Source organism: Homo sapiens, chromosome 8 (assembly GCF_000001405.40).
Source record: "Homo sapiens chromosome 8, GRCh38.p14 Primary Assembly".
NCBI classification, from domain to species: Eukaryota; Metazoa; Chordata; class Mammalia; order Primates; family Hominidae; genus Homo; species Homo sapiens.
Genome location: NC_000008.11, coordinates 17739441 through 17757848, shown reverse-complemented (window position 1 = coordinate 17757848; position 18408 = coordinate 17739441). Strand labels below are relative to the sequence as shown.

Below are 18408 nucleotides of genomic sequence, written 5' to 3'. Positions count from 1 at the left end.
ATTTAAGTTATTTCCCAAAAGTGGCCGGGCGTGGTGGCTCATGCCTGTAATCCCAGTGCTTTGGGAGGCCGAGGTGGGCAGATTACCTGAGGTCAGGAGTTCGAGACCAGCCTGGCCAGTGTGGTGAAACCCTGTCTCTACTAAAAATACAAAAATCAGCCACGCATGAAGGTGTACACCTGTAGTCCCTGCTACTCAGGAGGCTGAGGCAGGAAGATTGCCTGAAACCGGGAGGTGGAGGTTGCAGTGAGCCGAGATTGCATCACTGCACTCCAGCCTGGGTGGCAGAGCAAGACTCCATCTCAAAAAAGCAATAATAATTTATTTGCAAAAAGTTTTAGATTTAAATGCTTTCGTGGGTGTTTTAATGGTTTCATTTTTAAGTGTACAATTCAGTAGTTTTCAGTATATAACATTGTGCAGCCATCATCAGTACATAGTTTTAGAACATACTCGCAAAAGAAACGTCATCCCAATTAGCAGCCACTTTAGGTTTTCTTATTCTGGACATTTCATGTAAATAGTGTCATATAGTATGTAGACTTTCATGACTGGCTTCTTTCATTTGATATAATATTTCAAGTGTAATATTATATCCGTGTTGTACCATGTGTCAATATTGCATTCCTTTCTATTGCTGAGGAATATTTTGTCAAATGCATAAGAGTACATTTTGCTTTCTGCTCTTCAGTTGATGGGCATGTGGGTTTCTACTTTATGACTATTATGAATAGTGCTTCTATTTAGAATCATGTACATTTGTGTGCAAGTTCCCATGTTGACATATGTTTTCATTTTCTTCAGTAGATTCTTAGGAGTAGAATTGCTGGGGCATGTGGTACTTAAGTCTTCTTCGGCCACCATAACAAATTATCATACACTGGATGGCTTAAACAACAAAAACTTACTTTCTCACAGTTTTGGAGGCTGGAAAGTTGAAGATTAAGGTTCTTTTCAGGGTTTGGTTTTTGGTGAGAGCTCTCCTACTCTTCTCAGTGTACCCTAATTTGGTAGAGAGAGGGGATGAACCAAGAGTGGGAGAGCATTCTGGTGTCACTTTCCCTTCTTCTAAGGGCACCAGCTCTGTTGGATCAGCACTCCACGCTTATGACTGCTTTTAACCTTAATCACCTCCTTAAAGGCTCTGTCTCCAACATAGTTACATAAGGGGTGGGGGTTTGGGCTTGACATATGAATTGGAGAGGGGTGGGGAACAGTTTAGTGTATAACATAAGGTAACTCACATTTCAAGGGACTTCCAACAGGGTACCACTGGAGCCTTTAAGAATCGACAATTTTTTTTTCCCCTTCAATTTGGAAATAGCATATGTTTAAGATAGGAATAAAAACAAAGGAGAAACGTGAGTTCTTGATTGATCTTCAGCTGATTTGCTGGGCTTTCATGGCCTGTCTAATAATCACTCTGCATGGAAATAATAGGGGGGCCCTTCTGAGAATGAAAGGGACATGTTTACTAATCATCCTGGGACAACAGACATACTTTGGGACTGTCATAAGCAAATTTGGGTGAATTGTCACTCTGTCAGCCAACAAGAAGAAAATACTATTGCCAGATTTACCTCCTCCTCTCTTTGACAAGTCCCTGGGAGTGGGGGAGAGGCATATCAGTTATAAAGTCAGGGACAGGGTTAACGAGCAATGACCCCATCTTCCATTTTGCCCCATTTGCTATTCCCTCAAATTAAAAAAGTATCTTGAAAAGCGGTGATAGATTGCCTGATTATATCTCAGTTACCCACATCAGTAGTTGTGGGGTCTAAATGTGAACATAAAGTGATTGAAACTAATCACTTAGTGATTGAAACCAAGGGGTGGCCTGTTAATTTTTCTTATAGTTACTTGAGTTAAACATTTTATTTCTTCCAGGGAACAACAAATCATTTAATCTTCAGAGCATCTTAGACTGAAAACCTTTCAACTGTGCTGAAAAACCTAGAAGACAGACCATTTTGCCCACCCTCTCATTTAAAAGGAATTGAAGAAGAAATAAAATGGCAGAGGTTTAAGGTTACTATTCAGGATGACTGATGATAATTCAGATGATAAAATAGAAGATGAATTGCAAACCTTCTTTACCAGTGATAAAGATGGAAATACACATGCATACAACCCGAAATCACCACCTACACAAAACTCTTCAGCCAGCAGTGTGAACTGGAATTCTGCCAACCCAGATGACATGGTGGTTGATTATGAAACTGACCCTGCTGTAGTTACTGGTGAAAATATTTCTTTAAGCCTTCAGGGTGTTGAAGTATTTGGTCATGAAAAGTCTTCTAGTGATTTCATTAGTAAGCAGGTGTTAGATATGCATAAAGATTCTATTTGTCAGTGTCCTGCACTTGTAGGTACTGAGAAGCCCAAATATCTGCAACACAGTTGTCATTCCCTAGAAGCAGTTGAGGGCCAGAGTGTTGAGCCATCTTTGCCTTTTGTGTGGAAGCCTAATGACAATTTGAACTGTGCAGGCTACTGTGATGCCTTGGAGCTAAACCAAACATTTGACATGACAGTGGATAAAGTTAACTGCACCTTTATATCACATCATGCCATCGGAAAGAGTCAGTCCTTCCATACTGCTGGAAGCCTGCCACCAACTGGTAGGAGAAGTGGAAGTACATCTTCTTTATCCTATTCCACTTGGACATCTTCCCATTCTGATAAGACGCATGCAAGAGAAACTACTTATGATAGAGAAAGCTTTGAAAACCCTCAAGTCACACCATCAGAAGCCCAAGACATGACTTACACAGCATTTTCTGATGTGGTGATGCAAAGTGAGGTTTTTGTTTCAGATATTGGAAATCAGTGTGCATGTTCTTCAGGAAAGGTCACCAGTGAGTACACAGATGGATCACAACAAAGACTAGTTGGAGAAAAGGAGACACAAGCACTAACACCAGTTTCTGATGGCATGGAAGTCCCCAATGATTCTGCATTACAAGAGTTCTTTTGTTTATCCCATGATGAATCCAATAGCGAACCACATTCACAGAGCTCATACAGGCACAAGGAAATGGGCCAAAATCTGAGAGAGACAGTGTCCTATTGTCTTATTGATGATGAATGCCCTTTAATGGTGCCAGCTTTTGATAAGAGCGAAGCTCAAGTGCTGAACCCAGAGCATAAAGTCACTGAGACTGAAGACACACAAATGGTCTCCAAAGGAAAGGATTTGGGAACCCAAAATCATACCTCAGAATTGATTCTAAGTAGCCCGCCAGGACAAAAGGTGGGCTCGTCATTTGGACTGACTTGGGATGCAAATGATATGGTCATTAGCACAGACAAAACGATGTGCATGTCAACACCAGTCCTAGAACCCACAAAAGTAACCTTTTCTGTTTCACCGATTGAAGCGACGGAGAAATGTAAGAAAGTGGAGAAGGGTAATCGAGGGCTTAAAAACATACCAGACTCGAAGGAGGCACCTGTGAACCTGTGTAAACCCAGTTTAGGAAAATCAACAATCAAAACGAATACCCCAATAGGCTGCAAAGTTAGAAAAACTGAAATTATAAGTTACCCAAGACCAAACTTCAAGAATGTCAAAGCAAAAGTTATGTCTAGAGCAGTGTTGCAGCCCAAAGATGCTGCTTTATCAAAGGTCACGCCCAGACCTCAGCAGACCAGTGCCTCATCACCCTCATCAGTGAATTCAAGACAACAAACAGTCTTGAGCAGAACACCGAGATCTGACTTGAATGCAGACAAAAAAGCAGAAATTCTAATTAACAAGACACATAAGCAGCAGTTTAATAAACTCATTACTAGCCAGGCTGTGCATGTTACAACTCATTCTAAAAATGCTTCACACAGGGTTCCAAGAACAACATCTGCCGTGAAATCGAATCAGGAAGATGTTGACAAAGCCAGTTCTTCTAACTCAGCATGCGAGACCGGGTCCGTTTCTGCGTTGTTTCAGAAGATCAAAGGCATACTCCCTGTTAAAATGGAAAGTGCAGAATGTTTGGAAATGACCTATGTTCCCAACATTGATAGGATTAGCCCTGAAAAGAAGGGTGAAAAAGAAAATGGGACATCTATGGAAAAACAAGAGCTGAAACAAGAGATTATGAATGAGACTTTTGAATATGGTTCTCTGTTTTTGGTAAGTAATATATATATATTTTTTGCATGCTTCAGAGAACTGTGGAGAAAACTGAGATGTGTTAGCATTTAGTTATCTATTAGTCAATAATATTGCAGAACCAGGTGGGCAGATTTACATTTAGTTGTTAATTCATTGTCTTGTCAGTACTGGGGTGTTAATAGGTTTCAATACAACAAAACTGCATATGGAAAAAAAAATCCTCAATTTCAGTATTTTGTATCAAGTATCACCGTTCCTTTTAATAGTGTGCTGAAAAATGAAGTTACTTTAATATTTTAGTATAATTAGTAGTTTAAGTGCCTGATACAATCAGGTTATATTTTATTTTTCTGAAAAAGTTGGGTTGTCAACTTTAAAATGTATTGGACAGCATTTAAGAAAGGGCTTGGGAGTGCTGGTAAACATGTCAACATAAAAATAACTCCTGGACTCTTGCGGAGGAGGCAGCTCTGGGAAGTAGAGCCCTCTTGTATGAGCAAGAGTGTTCTTGATTTTTCCTCTGACCGGCCAATAATGATTTTTGGCAAGTAATTTTTCGAGACCCAAAGATGAAAGGATTGGACCTAGTGGATGTGTGAAGCCTCTTGCAGCCTTAATATATTAATTCCTGGTATATAAAATAAAATCTTTTACTTATGTATAGTGAAAAACCAGTATGTTTTCCATAGCGCCTGTCTAAAATATTTGGGGGGGACCTAGAGAGTGCTGTTTAAAGAATAAAGAATTCACATGCAGTGTAAAGGTGATTTTCCTTTAAACATGCATGTGTTTTTGAGAATAGTGTGTAGAAATTGGTTTTCTGGGTTTTAAAAACATTTGACAGGCCACTGTTGGTCGTTGGGCATGTGTCCTCAGCCCTATTTTTGGCAGTGGGGACTTAGGTGTATTTTCAGCCCCAGACAGGCTGTCCTTGGGTGCCTGTCCTCTGGGCCAGGAAGGGAGCTAAGTGCCAGCGGAGAAAGGCAGGTGTGACACAGACAGCCTGTCCCTTGGAGGGCTCGTGGCAAGAGGAATGAAGCACATAGAATAGCAAGTGCAGAAGGGCTGACTTAGGTGTGTCTTCAGGGTGCATGGGGACCACAAGGGAGGGAATTGTCAGGTCCGTTTAGAAGACAAGGTTAGGAAAGACCGAAGATATTCTAGATTCTCTAAAACATCAGTTTAGACATGTTTGGGCTTTAACAACCAGTCTTCTCTATTTGGAAGAAGGGTACACCACAGTGATTTCTAAACTAATGAGTTCATCCGTTGTTTCAAAACTCAGATTTAGTTTTTAAGTTATCTTGAAGTCAAACTTAGAAAACCGATATCATTTATAATTTTAATTTTTTTGCAAAATTAAATTACAACATACTCTTAATTCTAATCAACATTCTTAGTTTGGCATTTACAGATATACATAGAAACACGATGTTTATTCTCTTGATTTATGGGAGACTTTTTTTGGTGTGTCAGTCCCCAGCTACCAAAAACTCTATCATAAAGTTTCTTTTTCTTTAATGACATTTGTCTTGAATTTAAATTGGTTGTGTAATTTTGAAACTAAAAGTTTTCCTGATTTGTGCATTGAGTCTTAGGGTTATGTTGCCCCTGTGCAGCTTGAAAACCTGTTTTTCAGGCTCCCGATGTGGTACTGAGGTAAGGATAGAATCATCAGGTTGAAATGGATCCTAGTATGTCTTGGAGAAACAGCACTTTTCGCCTCAGGAATCTGGCTGTTAGGATTCATAATTAGATATGAAATACTTTGTAAGTCTTGAAAGATTGTCCCATATTCGCATATGCTTATCAACTGGCATAAGGGACTCTTTTTTCTTTTTTGCTTTCTTTTTTTTTTTTTTTTTTTTTTTTAAGGCAGAGTCTTGTTCTTGCTCTTTCGCCAGGCTGGAGTGCAGTGGCAAGATCTCGGCTCACTGCAACCTCCGCCTCCCAGGTTCAAGCAATTCTCCTGCCTCAGCCTCCCAGGTAGCTGGGACTACAGGCGTGCACCACCACATCCAGCTAATTTTTGTATTTTTAGTAGAGACGAGGTTTCACCATATTGTCCAGGATGGTCTTGATCTCTTGACCTCATGATCCACCTGCCTCGGCCTCCCAAAGTGCTGGGAATACAGGCGTGAGCCACTGCCCCCGGCCTACTCTTTTTTCACGATCATGTCTGAAGCACAGTGCTCTCTAATTTTGCTAGTTTACCTCTTGCACATTTCCATGTCTCTGGGAAGGAGGACTGGAAAGTGTCTGGGCAGACCCTCATAGGCCACTGGCTTTGCACTTACTGTAGAGAGCTGAATGAATTTGCTGCGTGTTTTCCTGAAACATGAATGTCGGTTGGTCACTTCAGCAGCACTCAAAGGCTCTTACTGCCCTGGATTGACGAAGAGACCATGCTGGAGGGATGTTAATTTTCTTTTTCTTTGAGATGGAGTCTCCTCTCTCACCCAGGATGGAGTGCAGTGGCGCGATCTCGGCTCACTGCAACCTCTGCCTCCCAGGTTCACGCATTTCTCCCAAGTAGCTGGGACTACAGGTGCACATGCCTGGCTAATTTTTTGTATTTTTATTAGAGATGGGGTTTCACCACGTTGGCCAGGCTGGTCTCGAACTCCTGACCTCAAGTGATCCGCCCACATTGGCCTCCCAAAGTGCTGGGATTACAGGCGTGAGCCATCGCGCCCGGTCGGATGTTAATTTTTACTGTTGCTTTGTTGGCCTTGGCCTGCCTTAGGCCTTGAGTTTACTGAATCCCTAGACTGCCTGCAACCTCACAGCTCATTGGTGGTCAGGGTGTATCTGAATCTTTAGAAAAGTTCTTATTTGGAAGAAGGAACTTGATTTTTATTTGAAACGGGGCTAGATGTAGCTCCTCACAACAGAGGTTATGTGTTCATGATAGTGTGTGAGATAAAGGGAGTGGAGACTTAACCTAAAAGGAAAGGAATTGATATTTATTCAGTGCTTGCTCTGGGTCAGGCACTTTGCTCAGGTGCCTTAGTTATATTATGCCATTTAATGGGCCCTGTAACGCTCAGGTGCTTTCCATACATTGTTATTTACTCTTCCCAATAACAACAGGGCAATTGTTGTCGACATTTTAATACTTCAGCGAGGTCACTTAAAACTCACACAGCTGGTAAATAGTAAAATTGGGATTCACACTCAGAGCCCTCACTTGAATCCTGGCCTTTTCTGCTCCATACACCATACGGTTTCAAAATTTTTGGAATGTTGGCTCTGAAAGGCAAAACAAGTGATTTGCTGAAGATTCACTTTTGTAAATTGATGAGCAGTTTGCCTTACTTTTTAAAAGAAGGTTTTCTCTGGGAGGTTAACTTTTGGGTTGCTTTTTAAAAGAAGATTTTTCTCTGGGAGATGAATTTAGCCAGCTTTAATTTAACCTAGCCAGAGACAGAAGATCTTTGTTAGTTTGTGTACAGTCACTTGCTTTTCTTGGCCAATTCTGTATTGTTCTCCAGTGCCAAAACATGACCTCCAGCTGTTCTCATGGGTGATTGGCCTGCTAAGTTATTGTTGAATTCACCTAATGTATGAATTCGACTGCCATCGGCATTGGGCTTTATGTGTATCTATCGGAAATTAACACTTGAGATTTATTAAAGAAAGAAGAGTGATGACAGGGAACATGCTGCTTTACAAGCACGGATTTTAGAGTAGTTTCAAATTGTAGCTCCACCATTTACTGGGCAAAGTGACCTCTGGCAGGTTACTAAGTCTCTATTGAGCTCAGTTGTTCTTTGTGTCAAAAAAAGGGTCAAACTCTGTAATATATTTGAAGAGATTTATTCTGAGCCAAACATGAGTGACCAGTGGCCCATGACACAGCCCTTAGGAGATCCTGAGAAGATGGGCCTAAGGTGATCGAGGTACAGCTTGCTTTTACACATTTTAGGGAGACATAAGACGTCAATCAGTACATGTAAGGTATACAGTGGTTCTGTCTAGAAAGGAGAGACAACTGGAAGTGGAGGCAGCTTCCAGGTCACAGGCAGATTTAAAGATTTTCTTTCTTTTTCTTTCTTTTTTTTTTTTTTTTTTTGAGACAGATTCTCTGTTGCCCAGGCTGGGGGTGCAGTGGTGTGATCTCTCGGCTCACTGCAGCCTCTGCCTCCCGGGTTCAAGTGATTCTCTTGCCTCAGCCTTTTGAGTAGCTGGGATTACAGGTGAGGACCACCACACCCAGCTAATTTTTTTGTATTTTTAGTAGAGACTGGCTTTCCTCATGTTGGCCAGGCCGGTCTCGAACTCCTGGCCTCATGTGATCTGCCCACCTCGGCTTCTCAAAGTGCTGGGATTACAGGTTTGAGCCACCACCCCCAGCCTAAAGATTTTCTAATTGGCAGTTGGTTCAAAGAGTTAAAGACCTGGAATCAACAAAAAGGAATGTCTGGGTTAAGATAAGGAGCTGTGGAAACCAAGGTTTTATCATACAGATGAAACCTTCAGGTAGCCGGCTTCAGGGGGAGTTGATTGTAAATGTTGCTTATCAGACTTAAAAGAGTCTGTTCTATCAGTCTTAAGGTCTTTGTTGATGTTAATGCTGGTCAGCTGTGCCTGAATTCCAACCCTTCGGAGAGTATAATTATGTCTGACTCCCCCTTCCTTTCATATCCTGAACTAGTTTTTCAGGTTAACCTTGGAATGCCCTTGGCCGAGAGAAGTGGTCCCTTCAGATGGTTGGGGGGCTTAGAATTTTATTTTTGCTTTACATTAATGTAAAGGGAGAATTGCAAATTGTAGTTTGGTGTTGGAATTCACACTGTGAGTAAGGCTCAGACTCCCATTTCCTCTATGTAGAATAGAAACATTTATTGGGTGCATACTATGTATTATACATATGGTGATGATTGTTAGGATGTAGGGAAAAAAGAGACCCTGTCTGAGTGCCTAGTGCAGTGGGTAATACTGTTGCAGGAGTTTTTCTCAACCCATTTGTAAAACTTGCGATGGGGGTGCCCCATTCAGCCCGCCATGCTCAACCTCTTGCGGGCAGGAGTGTGTGGGCAAGTGAGTACAGGATCCAGCCAGCCACTTTGAGCACCGGCAGGAGCATGCTGTGTGCAGGCCCCACAGTGGTGCCCAGGTGGTGGTGTCTGTGACCCTAAAGCCCCAGAGGGCATGCTACAGTGCTCTCTTGGCTCCACCATCCATGGACACCGGTGTGTCATCAGCTCAGTGGGCCCTTTGCCTCACTGTGTGGGGCAGCTGCCCTCCAGTAGCGAGGGCAAAGGGTCAGTGTGATAACCTTTTTTGGGTACCCAAAGTTGGTGGGTCCCAAGCTCTTGTCCACTGTCCAAGAAGAATTGGGTCACATGGACACCTGAAGGATGGTGGAGGCAGATAATTTTATTTAGCAATGAAAGTGGCTCTCAGCAGAGAGGGTAGCTGAAGACGGGACAGGACGGGCAGATAATCTTCCCTAAAGTCTGGCCATCTACACTTGGCTCTTCTCCAAAGCTAAGCCATCTCTCCTCCAAAGTCCAGCTGTCTGTCTGCCATCCAAGTACTAACCAGGCCTGACCCTGCTTAGCTTCAAAGATCAGGCGAGATTGGGTGTGTTCAGGGTGATATGACAGTAGACTCAGCTGTCCTCTGAAGTCTCCAGTTGATATGATTTGGCTGTGTCCCCACCCAAATCTTGTATTGAGTTCCCACATGTTGTGGGAAGGACCCAGTGGGAGGGAATTGAATAATGGGGGGGCAGGTCTTTGCCATGCTGTTCTCATAATAGTGATTAAGTCTCACAAGATCTGATGGTTATTATAAGGGAGAGTTTTCTTGCATGAGCTCTCTTTGCCTGCTGCCATCCATGTAAGACATGTCTTGCTCCTCCTTGCCCTCTGCCATGATTGTGAGGCTTCCCCAGCCACGTGGAACTCTTAAGTCCAATTAAACCTCTTTCTTTTGTAAGTTGCCCAGTCTCATGTACGTCTTTATAAGCAGCGTAAAAATGGACTAATACATCAGTCAAGCCGCTTGTCTCCCCTACCAAGTGAGTCTGGGGTCTTTACATGAATGGGATGTGGGGGGCAAGGCAGGCCATAGGTAGTTTTGGAAAAGGCAACTTTCAATTGGTAAAAAGACATTATTCAGAAAGAACTAATTAGGAGAGAGTGGGCAAACAGGTTTAGAAGTTCTCACTTTAGGCTGTGGGTTTCAGGGTTTTTGCCTTGAAGGTGGGGTTTTGCTGGGGACCTGCCCCCGTCTGCCTAGAATTTCTCTGCCTCCTGCCTCTATCAATACAGTAAACAGGCAAGGGTATGTTGATTGCTAAGTTGGGAGTGTGAGTAGACTGCTGTGCTGCAGGAGGGGGAACAAGATGTGGTGGTGGGCAGAGTTGTCAAGGAAGGCTTATAGGGGACATCACATGTTGTCACTAGCTGGAATTTGAAGGGCAGGTATTCTGGGTAGAGTACAAAGCTGAAGAAATATGAGAAGATTTTCTAATTTAGGGGACTCTAGGTAGGTGTGGTGGGAGCTGGGAGAATGGAACCCTGAGCAGTAGGGAATAAGGTGAAGAGGATGGCAGGGGCTTCCATATGCAAAAGGATTGCTGGGCCTTGTGAAGAAGATGTTATCTGGAAGACAGACAGAAGGTGTCTAACCCTATTCGAGTTTGAGAGAGATTGCCCTAGCAGGCAGATAAAAGATGAATTGAAAGCTGGAGAGACCAGAAAGATCCTGTGGACATCGTTTCAGTAATCTTGCTGAGAAATGACAGCAGATGGAAAAGAGAAACAGCTTTCATTGTTGAAGTTGGGTGCCTGGGTATGTTGTGGTGAATACAGGAAGAGATAAGTTTTGAGATAGATAGGAAAGTAAGATTAATTTTAGAAAATGCTTCATGTTCTTGTTCTTTAAAATGGGGTACAATAAACCTACCAACTTCACAGGATTATTATGAGGGTTAAGTGAATTGATACATATACTTAGAATTTAGAATAGTATTCTATACGGGCTATATGTTAGTAAGTTAAGTAGAGTCATATGGTTTGGCTGTGTCCCCACCCAAATCTCATCTTGAATTGTAGCTCCTGTAATTCCCACATATTGTGGGAGGGACCTGGTGGGAGATAATTGCATCATGGGGGTGGTTTCCCCCATACTGTTCTTGTGGTAGTGAGTAAGTCTCATGAGATCTGATGGTTTTATAAGGGGAAACTGCTTTCCCTTGGCTTTTATTCTCTCTTGTCTGCTGCCTTGTAAGATGAACCTTTCACCTTCTGCCATGATTGTGAAGCCTCCCTAGCCACGTGGAACTCTGAGCCCATTAAACTGCTTTTTCTTTATAAATTACCCAGTCTCAGGTGTGACTTTATCAGCGTTGTGAAAATGGACTAATACGTAGAGGTGCTTGAAGGATGCTGAGTTGGGATGTATAGAAAGAAGTTAGGTATATGGGAAACTCAGGAGAGAGTACTGGTTGAACATGTGGATTTGGATGTACCAGTGTACACGTGGCAATTGAAACAGCAGCCAAGATCATGTAGGAAGAGTACATGGTGAGGAAAGAGAACAGGGCCAAGGCTAGGTCTTCATGAAGACTAGCTGTATCAGTCTGTTCTCACATTGCTATATAAAGAACTACCTGAGACTGGGTAATTTATAAAGAAAAGAGGTTTAATTGACTCACAGTTCCACAGGCTGTACAGGAAGCAAGGCTGCAATGTCTTGTATGACTGGAGGAGGAGGAAGAGAGTGAGGGGGCAGGTGACACACCCTTTTAAACAACCAGATCTTGTAAGAACTCACTGTCATAAGAACAGCAAGGGGGAAGTCTGCTTCTATGATCCAGTTACCTCCCACCAGGTCCCTCCTCCAGCACTGGGGATTACAATTCGATGTGAGATTTGGGTGGGGACACAGATCCAAATTATATCACTAGCTTCCAAAGGTACAGAAGAATAGGACCCAGAAAAGGAATAACCGGACAGGTAGAAGGAAAACCAGGAAAGAGCTTTGTCAGGAAACCAGAGAATGGAGTTATTAACGTTCGATGTGTAGAGAGAGCCCCCAGGGGAAGGATTGAAAACTAGCTTGAATTTAACTTGTGACACTGGTGATCTTGAGTACACTCTCACTAATGGGTACAAAGGCAGAATATGGTGAATTAAAGAGTAAGCTGTGAAGAGTTTTAATTGTTTCATAGTAAAAATGAAAATTGAATACAGTCAGCCCTCTGTATCTATGGGCTCCACATCTGTGGATTGAGCCAAACTTGGACTGAAAATATTCAGAAAAAAAATCTGCAGTGTTTCAAAAAGCAAAACTTGAACTTACTACATGCTGAATACTATGTTGAATCCACCTGAAACAAGTAATAGGTAGATGTTGTAAGTAATGATCGTGGAGATGATTTACAGTATATGGGAGGATGTACATAGGTTATATGCAAACCCTACACCATTTCATATAAGAGATTTGAGTGTCCATGGATTTTGATATCTGCCAGGGTCCTGGAACTAATCATTTTTGATACCGAGGGACAACTGTACACGTTCACTTAGAAATTGTTCCTTTCACGTAGCTAATACCACAAGGAAGTGGTATGGGGAAGGTATGATCTGGATTAAAATTTTGTTAATGAAAAAAGCCAAACTCTAAATCATTTGAAGAGACTTATTCTGACCCAAATATGAGGACCATGGCTGATGACACATCCTCAAGAGGTCCTCAGAACATGTGCCTAGGTGTTTGGGTTACAGCTTGATTTCATCCATTTTAGGGAGACAGAGGACATCAGTCAATACATTTGAGATACACGTTAGTTTGGTCTGGGAAGATGAGACATCTTGAAGTAGGGACTTACAGATCATAGGTGGATTCAAAGATTTACTGCTTGGCAGTTCGTTGAAAGAATTAAGTTATTGGCTCACGCCTGTAATCCCAGCCCTTTGGGAGGCCGAGGCGGCAGATCACGAAGTGTGGAGTTTGAGACCAGCCTGACCAACATGGCGAAACCTCATCTCTACTAAAAATACAAAAAATCAAAAAAAAAAAAAAAAAAAAGAAAACATGGTGAAACCCCATCTCCACTAAAAATAAAATGCCAAAAAAAAAATACAAAACTTAGCTACAAAAATATAAAAATTAGCCATCTCTACTAAAAGTAAAAAGATTGATGGTGGTGTGCACCCGTAATCCCAGCTACTCAGGAGGCTGAGGCAGGAGAATCACTTGAACCCGGGAGGCAGAGGTTGCACTGAGCTGGGATCATGCCACTACACTCCAGCCTGGGCGATAGAGGAGACTCCGTGTCAAAAAACTAAAGAAGTTATTATCTAAAGACCTGAAATCAATAGAAAGGAGTGTCTCGGTTAAGATAAGATAAGGGGCTGTGGAGACCAAGGTTCTTATTATGTAGATGAAATCTCATACGTGGCCGCCTTTAGAGGTAATAGATGGCAAATATTACCTATTTAGACTTTTAAAAGGTGCTAGACTCTCAGCTAATTTCTTTGGGACCAAAGATCTGGGAAGGGAAGAAGATTCTCTACAGAATGTAAATTTGCCCCTACAAGAGACAGCTTTGCAGGGCCATTTCAAAATGTGTTAAAGAAAAATATTTTGGGGTAAAATACTTCAATTTCCTTCAGGGCTTGCTGTCTGTCATGTGATGCTAAACTAGAGTCAGGTTGGAATTTAGTGTCTTTTTGCTATAAAGAGTCTGTTTTGTCTGACTTAAGGTTTCTGTTTTAATGTTAATTCTGGTCAGTTGTGCCTGAATTCTAAAGGGAGGAGAGTATAATGAGGCATGTCTGACCTCTTTGCCATCATGGCCTGAACTTGTTTTTTAGGTTTCTTTGGAATTGCCTTGGCCTAGAGGAGGGGCCCATTCAGTCAGTTGGGGGGCTTAGAATTTTAGTTTTGGTTTACAGTCTTAACTGTTATTTTCACAGGGCTCTGCTTCAAAAACAACGACCACCTCAGGTAGGAATATATCCAAGCCTGACTCCTGCGGTTTGAGGCAAATAGCTGCTCCAAAAGCCAAAGTGGGGCCCCCTGTTTCCTGTTTGAGGCGGAACAGTGACAATAGAAATCCCAGTGCTGATCGAGCCGTATCTCCTCAGAGGATCAGGCGTGTGTCCAGTTCTGGTAAGAATAAAATAGTTCAATAGTTTATGAGTTAATTGAATGTAAAATTGGACAGTCATGATTATAGGTCTAATGCCTTCTGTCACTAAAGCAGTTAGCCTTTTGTGGATCAGCATCCTGAGCACAGGAGGTAGAAAAAGAAGATGACAACATATATCCCTTATCTTTGAGCAAGGCAAAGGCTAGTTGAGGAGAGAGGTATAGGTGTATAAACCATCTTATAAGCTATTCAGAAGGATGTGTACATAAATATACAATTGGGTGGCTGATGTAAATTTGAATCATTTCATTAAGTTTTTTCAAATGGTTAAGTGCTTAACAATGCTGAAGTGTTGTACGGTAGGTCCCTAGTGTGCCCTCAATACATGTGAAGAGATTAATTTTTTTTTTAATTTTACTGAAAGATGTATGATAGATTTAGGAGGGATATGAGGGTGACTAAAAAGTTAAATTTTTCTAATGTGAACTTTTATTTATGTTGGCTTGTATCTTACAATTTGTAATTTTAAAGTCATGTTAGGCCAATGAAATGTGAGCGCCTCAAGAATAGCTATTAAGTATCATACTAAATTTGGCGGACGTACAGATCTGTGTTACAAAGAAATGGAAAAGTCATCCCTGTGTCACGGGGATGAAAAGCCTGCTAGCCATTCCAATTGACTGAGAACATCTTGCAAAGAACCCACCTTACTTCTGCCGGTACAGCCTTGGGCAAATTAAAGTCATGTCAAATCAATTTAGTAGTAAGTTCCCTTATACAAATAGTTATGTGTCCACACACGTGAGAATGTTTTATGGAAACTAATGAAAGCGAGCAAATCCCAGAAGATCTCTGTACCTCTCTACAATTTAGTATTTGTAGGTTTCATTTTTCAACCCTACCATGAAGCCTCAAGTGTGAAAGCCTGTAATGCTTAGAAATGTTTTACGGGCTGTTTATTTAGATTCAGGCCTAGTGTCAAGGTCAAGGAGACATGACCACAGAGGCGTGAGTGGAGGAAGAGGGGTTTGCAGCACATGGCTCCATCCCCAGAGGATCTGGGTGGAAACAGGAATTCATTAGCTTGGAGTGTTCATCATCTGGGAGAAAAACAGAGGCCAAAAGCCATTGGGAGAAAGAGTGATTCTTATTTGGGATATTGCCACACCTGGGGAGTCAAGGCATGAGTGAGATGAAAGCTCTAGTCCTGGCTGGGTGTGGTGGTTTATGCCTGAAATCCCAGTGCTTTAGGAAGCCAAAGTGGGCCAGGAGTTCAGGACCAGCCTGGGCAACATAGCAAGACACTATCTCTAAAAAAAAAAAAAAAAAAAACAACAACAACAAAAAAAAAAAACAGCTGGGCATGAGAGCATGATGGTGTGCCCTTGTAGGGGCTCCTCAGCTATTCAGGAGGCTGAGGCAGGAAGATCACTTGAGCCCAGAAGTTCAAAGCTGCAGTGAGCTATGATCATGCCACTGTACTCCAACCTGGGCAGCAGAGCAAAACCCTGTCCCTTGGTGGTGAAGAAAAAGCTCTGGTCCTTACTGTAGTTGTCCAATAAGGCTCATGGTGCTTGCAGAGAATGGGAAGCTCCCTTCCTCCTCTGTGAGGAACACCTGTAGCTTGGTGGCACTGGAGTGTGGCCCCTGGCCTGCAGTTAGGAGCCCTGTGTTTTAGTTCCACTCTGGCCCCAATACGCTGCCTGAGCAAGTCTTTTACTCTCCCTGGGCTTCATCTTCACATCTTGAAAGTGTAAGTGTCTGAGAATCTAAGACCCTGTCAGCTTTTACAGCCCTTACCTTTCTAGGGACAATTTGGAGCTCACCTAATTTTCTGAGTAACTGCTGTTACTGGTATGATTCTCTGAATTTCGTGGGGCTTGAATCCCAGAAAATCTAAGCGCACATACTTTTAAGAAATGAGGCCAGTACCCAGGATACATTGAAAAAGATAGAATCCTTTTATGTAGGCGATCAGTCCCACCCAGCGGGGAAGTAGTTGTTAAGTCCTTTTACTCTGTGTTGCATAATGTGTCTTAGAGAAAAGTGGATCTGTTTAGTCTTAGTGAAAAGACAGGGCATGCTTTTGAGCTTTTATCATCCTGTGTCGATGAGCTTGATAACTGAGTTATGCATCCAGATTTTTCAGTCTGAGTTAAAAACTAATTACGTTTTACTGGGTGGTTTTCTGTATCTGAATGGAAACAAAGTTAATGTAACTGGAAACATTCTGGATTTGAATTTGAGTTTTGTATTTGACTGGTTAGAAGACTTTTATGGTCTGAATACTTGGGTCCCTCTACATTAATATGTTGAAGCCCCAACCTGCAATGTGATTGTGTTTGGAGACAGGGCTGGTGAGGAGGTGATGAAGGTTAAACGGGGTCATAAGAGTGGGATCCTAATCCAGTAGGGGTGGTGCCCTTAGAAAAAGATGAAGAGATGGGCTTGGCATGGTGGCTCACGCTTGTAATCCCAGCACTTTGGGAGGCTGAGGCAGGTGGATCACCTGAGGTCAGGAGTTTGAGACCAGCCTGGCCAATGTGGGAATGTGGGGAAACCCCTTCTCTACTAAAAATACAAAAAAAAAATTAGCCAAGGGTGGTGGCAGGTGACTGTAATCCCAGCTATTGGGGAGGGTGAGGCAGGAGAATTCCTTGATCCCAGGAGGCGGAGGTTGCAGTGAGCCGAGATAGCACCATTGCACCCCAGCCTGGGTAGCAAGAGCGAAACTCTCTTTCAAAAAAGAAAAGAGGAAGAGACACTGGAACTGTCCTCAGTATGTGAGGTAGAATGAGAATGTGGCCATCTGGATGCCAGGAAGAGGGCCCTTGCTGGGAAGCAGATCAGCTGGCACCTCTATCTTGGACATTCCAGCCTTCAGAACTGTGAGAAAACAAATTTCTGTTGTTTAAGCCACCCCATCTGGTATTATTACTATTATGGCAGCCTGAGCCGACTAAGAAGACTAATTTGATTCTACTGTATTATGTTTTACAGAAAAATTAATAGCAACTAATTTTTTTGGATGCTCTCAGTAAATTGAGAGGTGTTTCTTAATCGCCACAGAGTTAAAAGTAGAACAGAAAAATCAAGGAGCAGAAACAATGTGCTTTTAGATCCCCGTGATCCTGTTGCCATTGATTGTACAATGAAGTGTCTGTGTGTATTAGCAAATTGAAACCAAATGGATATCCACCATACTGACTCACAGTTACTCTGCTGAAAGGTAAGCGGCAGAAATGTTCCAGCCAATTTGGCGTTTTCAATAAATCCTTTCAGAACACTTAAGTAGAAAACCAGACCCAGTATTGAAACAGCCATTTTCTTGAAGCTTTAAAATGAATGTGAGAAGGAATTGTAATTAAACCCAACACAGCTGTTCTTTTTCCTTTTTCTTTTCCTTTTTTTTTTTTGAGACGGAGTCTCGCTCTGTTGATCAGGCTGGAGTGCAATGGTGCAATCTCGGATCACTGCAACCTCCGCCTCCTGGGTTCAAGCGATTCTGCTGCCTCAGCCTCCTGAGTAGCTGGGATTTACAGGCACCCACCACCACGCCCAACTAATTTTTTGTATTTTTAGTAGAGACAGGGTTTCACCATGTTGGCCAGGCCGGTCTCGAACTTCTGACCTCAGGTGATCCACCCACCTTGGCCTCCCAAAGAGCTGTTCCATTTTACTTGTCAAAATGTGGAAATATATTATATGAGACCAGATTATAAGAGATTATAACAAACCAAATCTAAACTACCTTTGCTTCTTTGGAAATATACTGAAATAAGATGAGATAGTGATGAAAATTATTTGTAGTAGTAATTATTATAATGTCAATGATAGCAGCTCACACTGTTAAGTATATGTCGGGTTCCAGGCTCAGTTTTAGTAATTTCATCTATAAATTCATTTAATCCTCACAGTAACTTTGAGGCTTATCCCTATTTTATAGACAAGGAATCTTCCACAGAAAAGTTAAATAATTTGTCCAATGTTAAACAGCTGGAAAGTGGCAGAGGTGGGATTCAGACCAGCCAGTGATGCTGTTAACCAACACATTATTAATCTCAATACTATTAGTATGGCCATGAGTTTTGTTTGTTTGATTTATTAATTTATTTATTTATTTATTTATGAGATGGAGTTTCACTCTTGTTGCCCAGGCTGGAGTGCAATTGACGCAATCGTG

General features: G+C 42.1%; 1 protein-coding gene and 1 pseudogene across 9 annotated transcripts in view; one reads left to right on the top strand and one right to left on the bottom strand.

The window, feature by feature from the left end:
- The window catches only part of MTUS1 (microtubule associated scaffold protein 1), a 157720-nt gene that overhangs the window by 43673 nt on the left and 95639 nt on the right, over positions 1-18408 (top strand). For all 9 annotated transcript variants that reach the window (NR_156437.2, NM_001363061.2, NM_001363060.2 and 6 more), the window contains 2 exons: positions 1888-4132; positions 14050-14245. Coding sequence is in view for 8 of the 9 variants with exons in the window: in NM_001363061.2 (NP_001349990.1) it covers positions 2042-4132; positions 14050-14245 (2287 nt within the window). In the remaining variant the exon portion in view is untranslated. The remainder of the gene's footprint in view (positions 1-1887; positions 4133-14049; positions 14246-18408) is intronic.
- On the bottom strand, positions 9619-9731 carry RNA5SP256 (RNA, 5S ribosomal pseudogene 256; annotated as a pseudogene).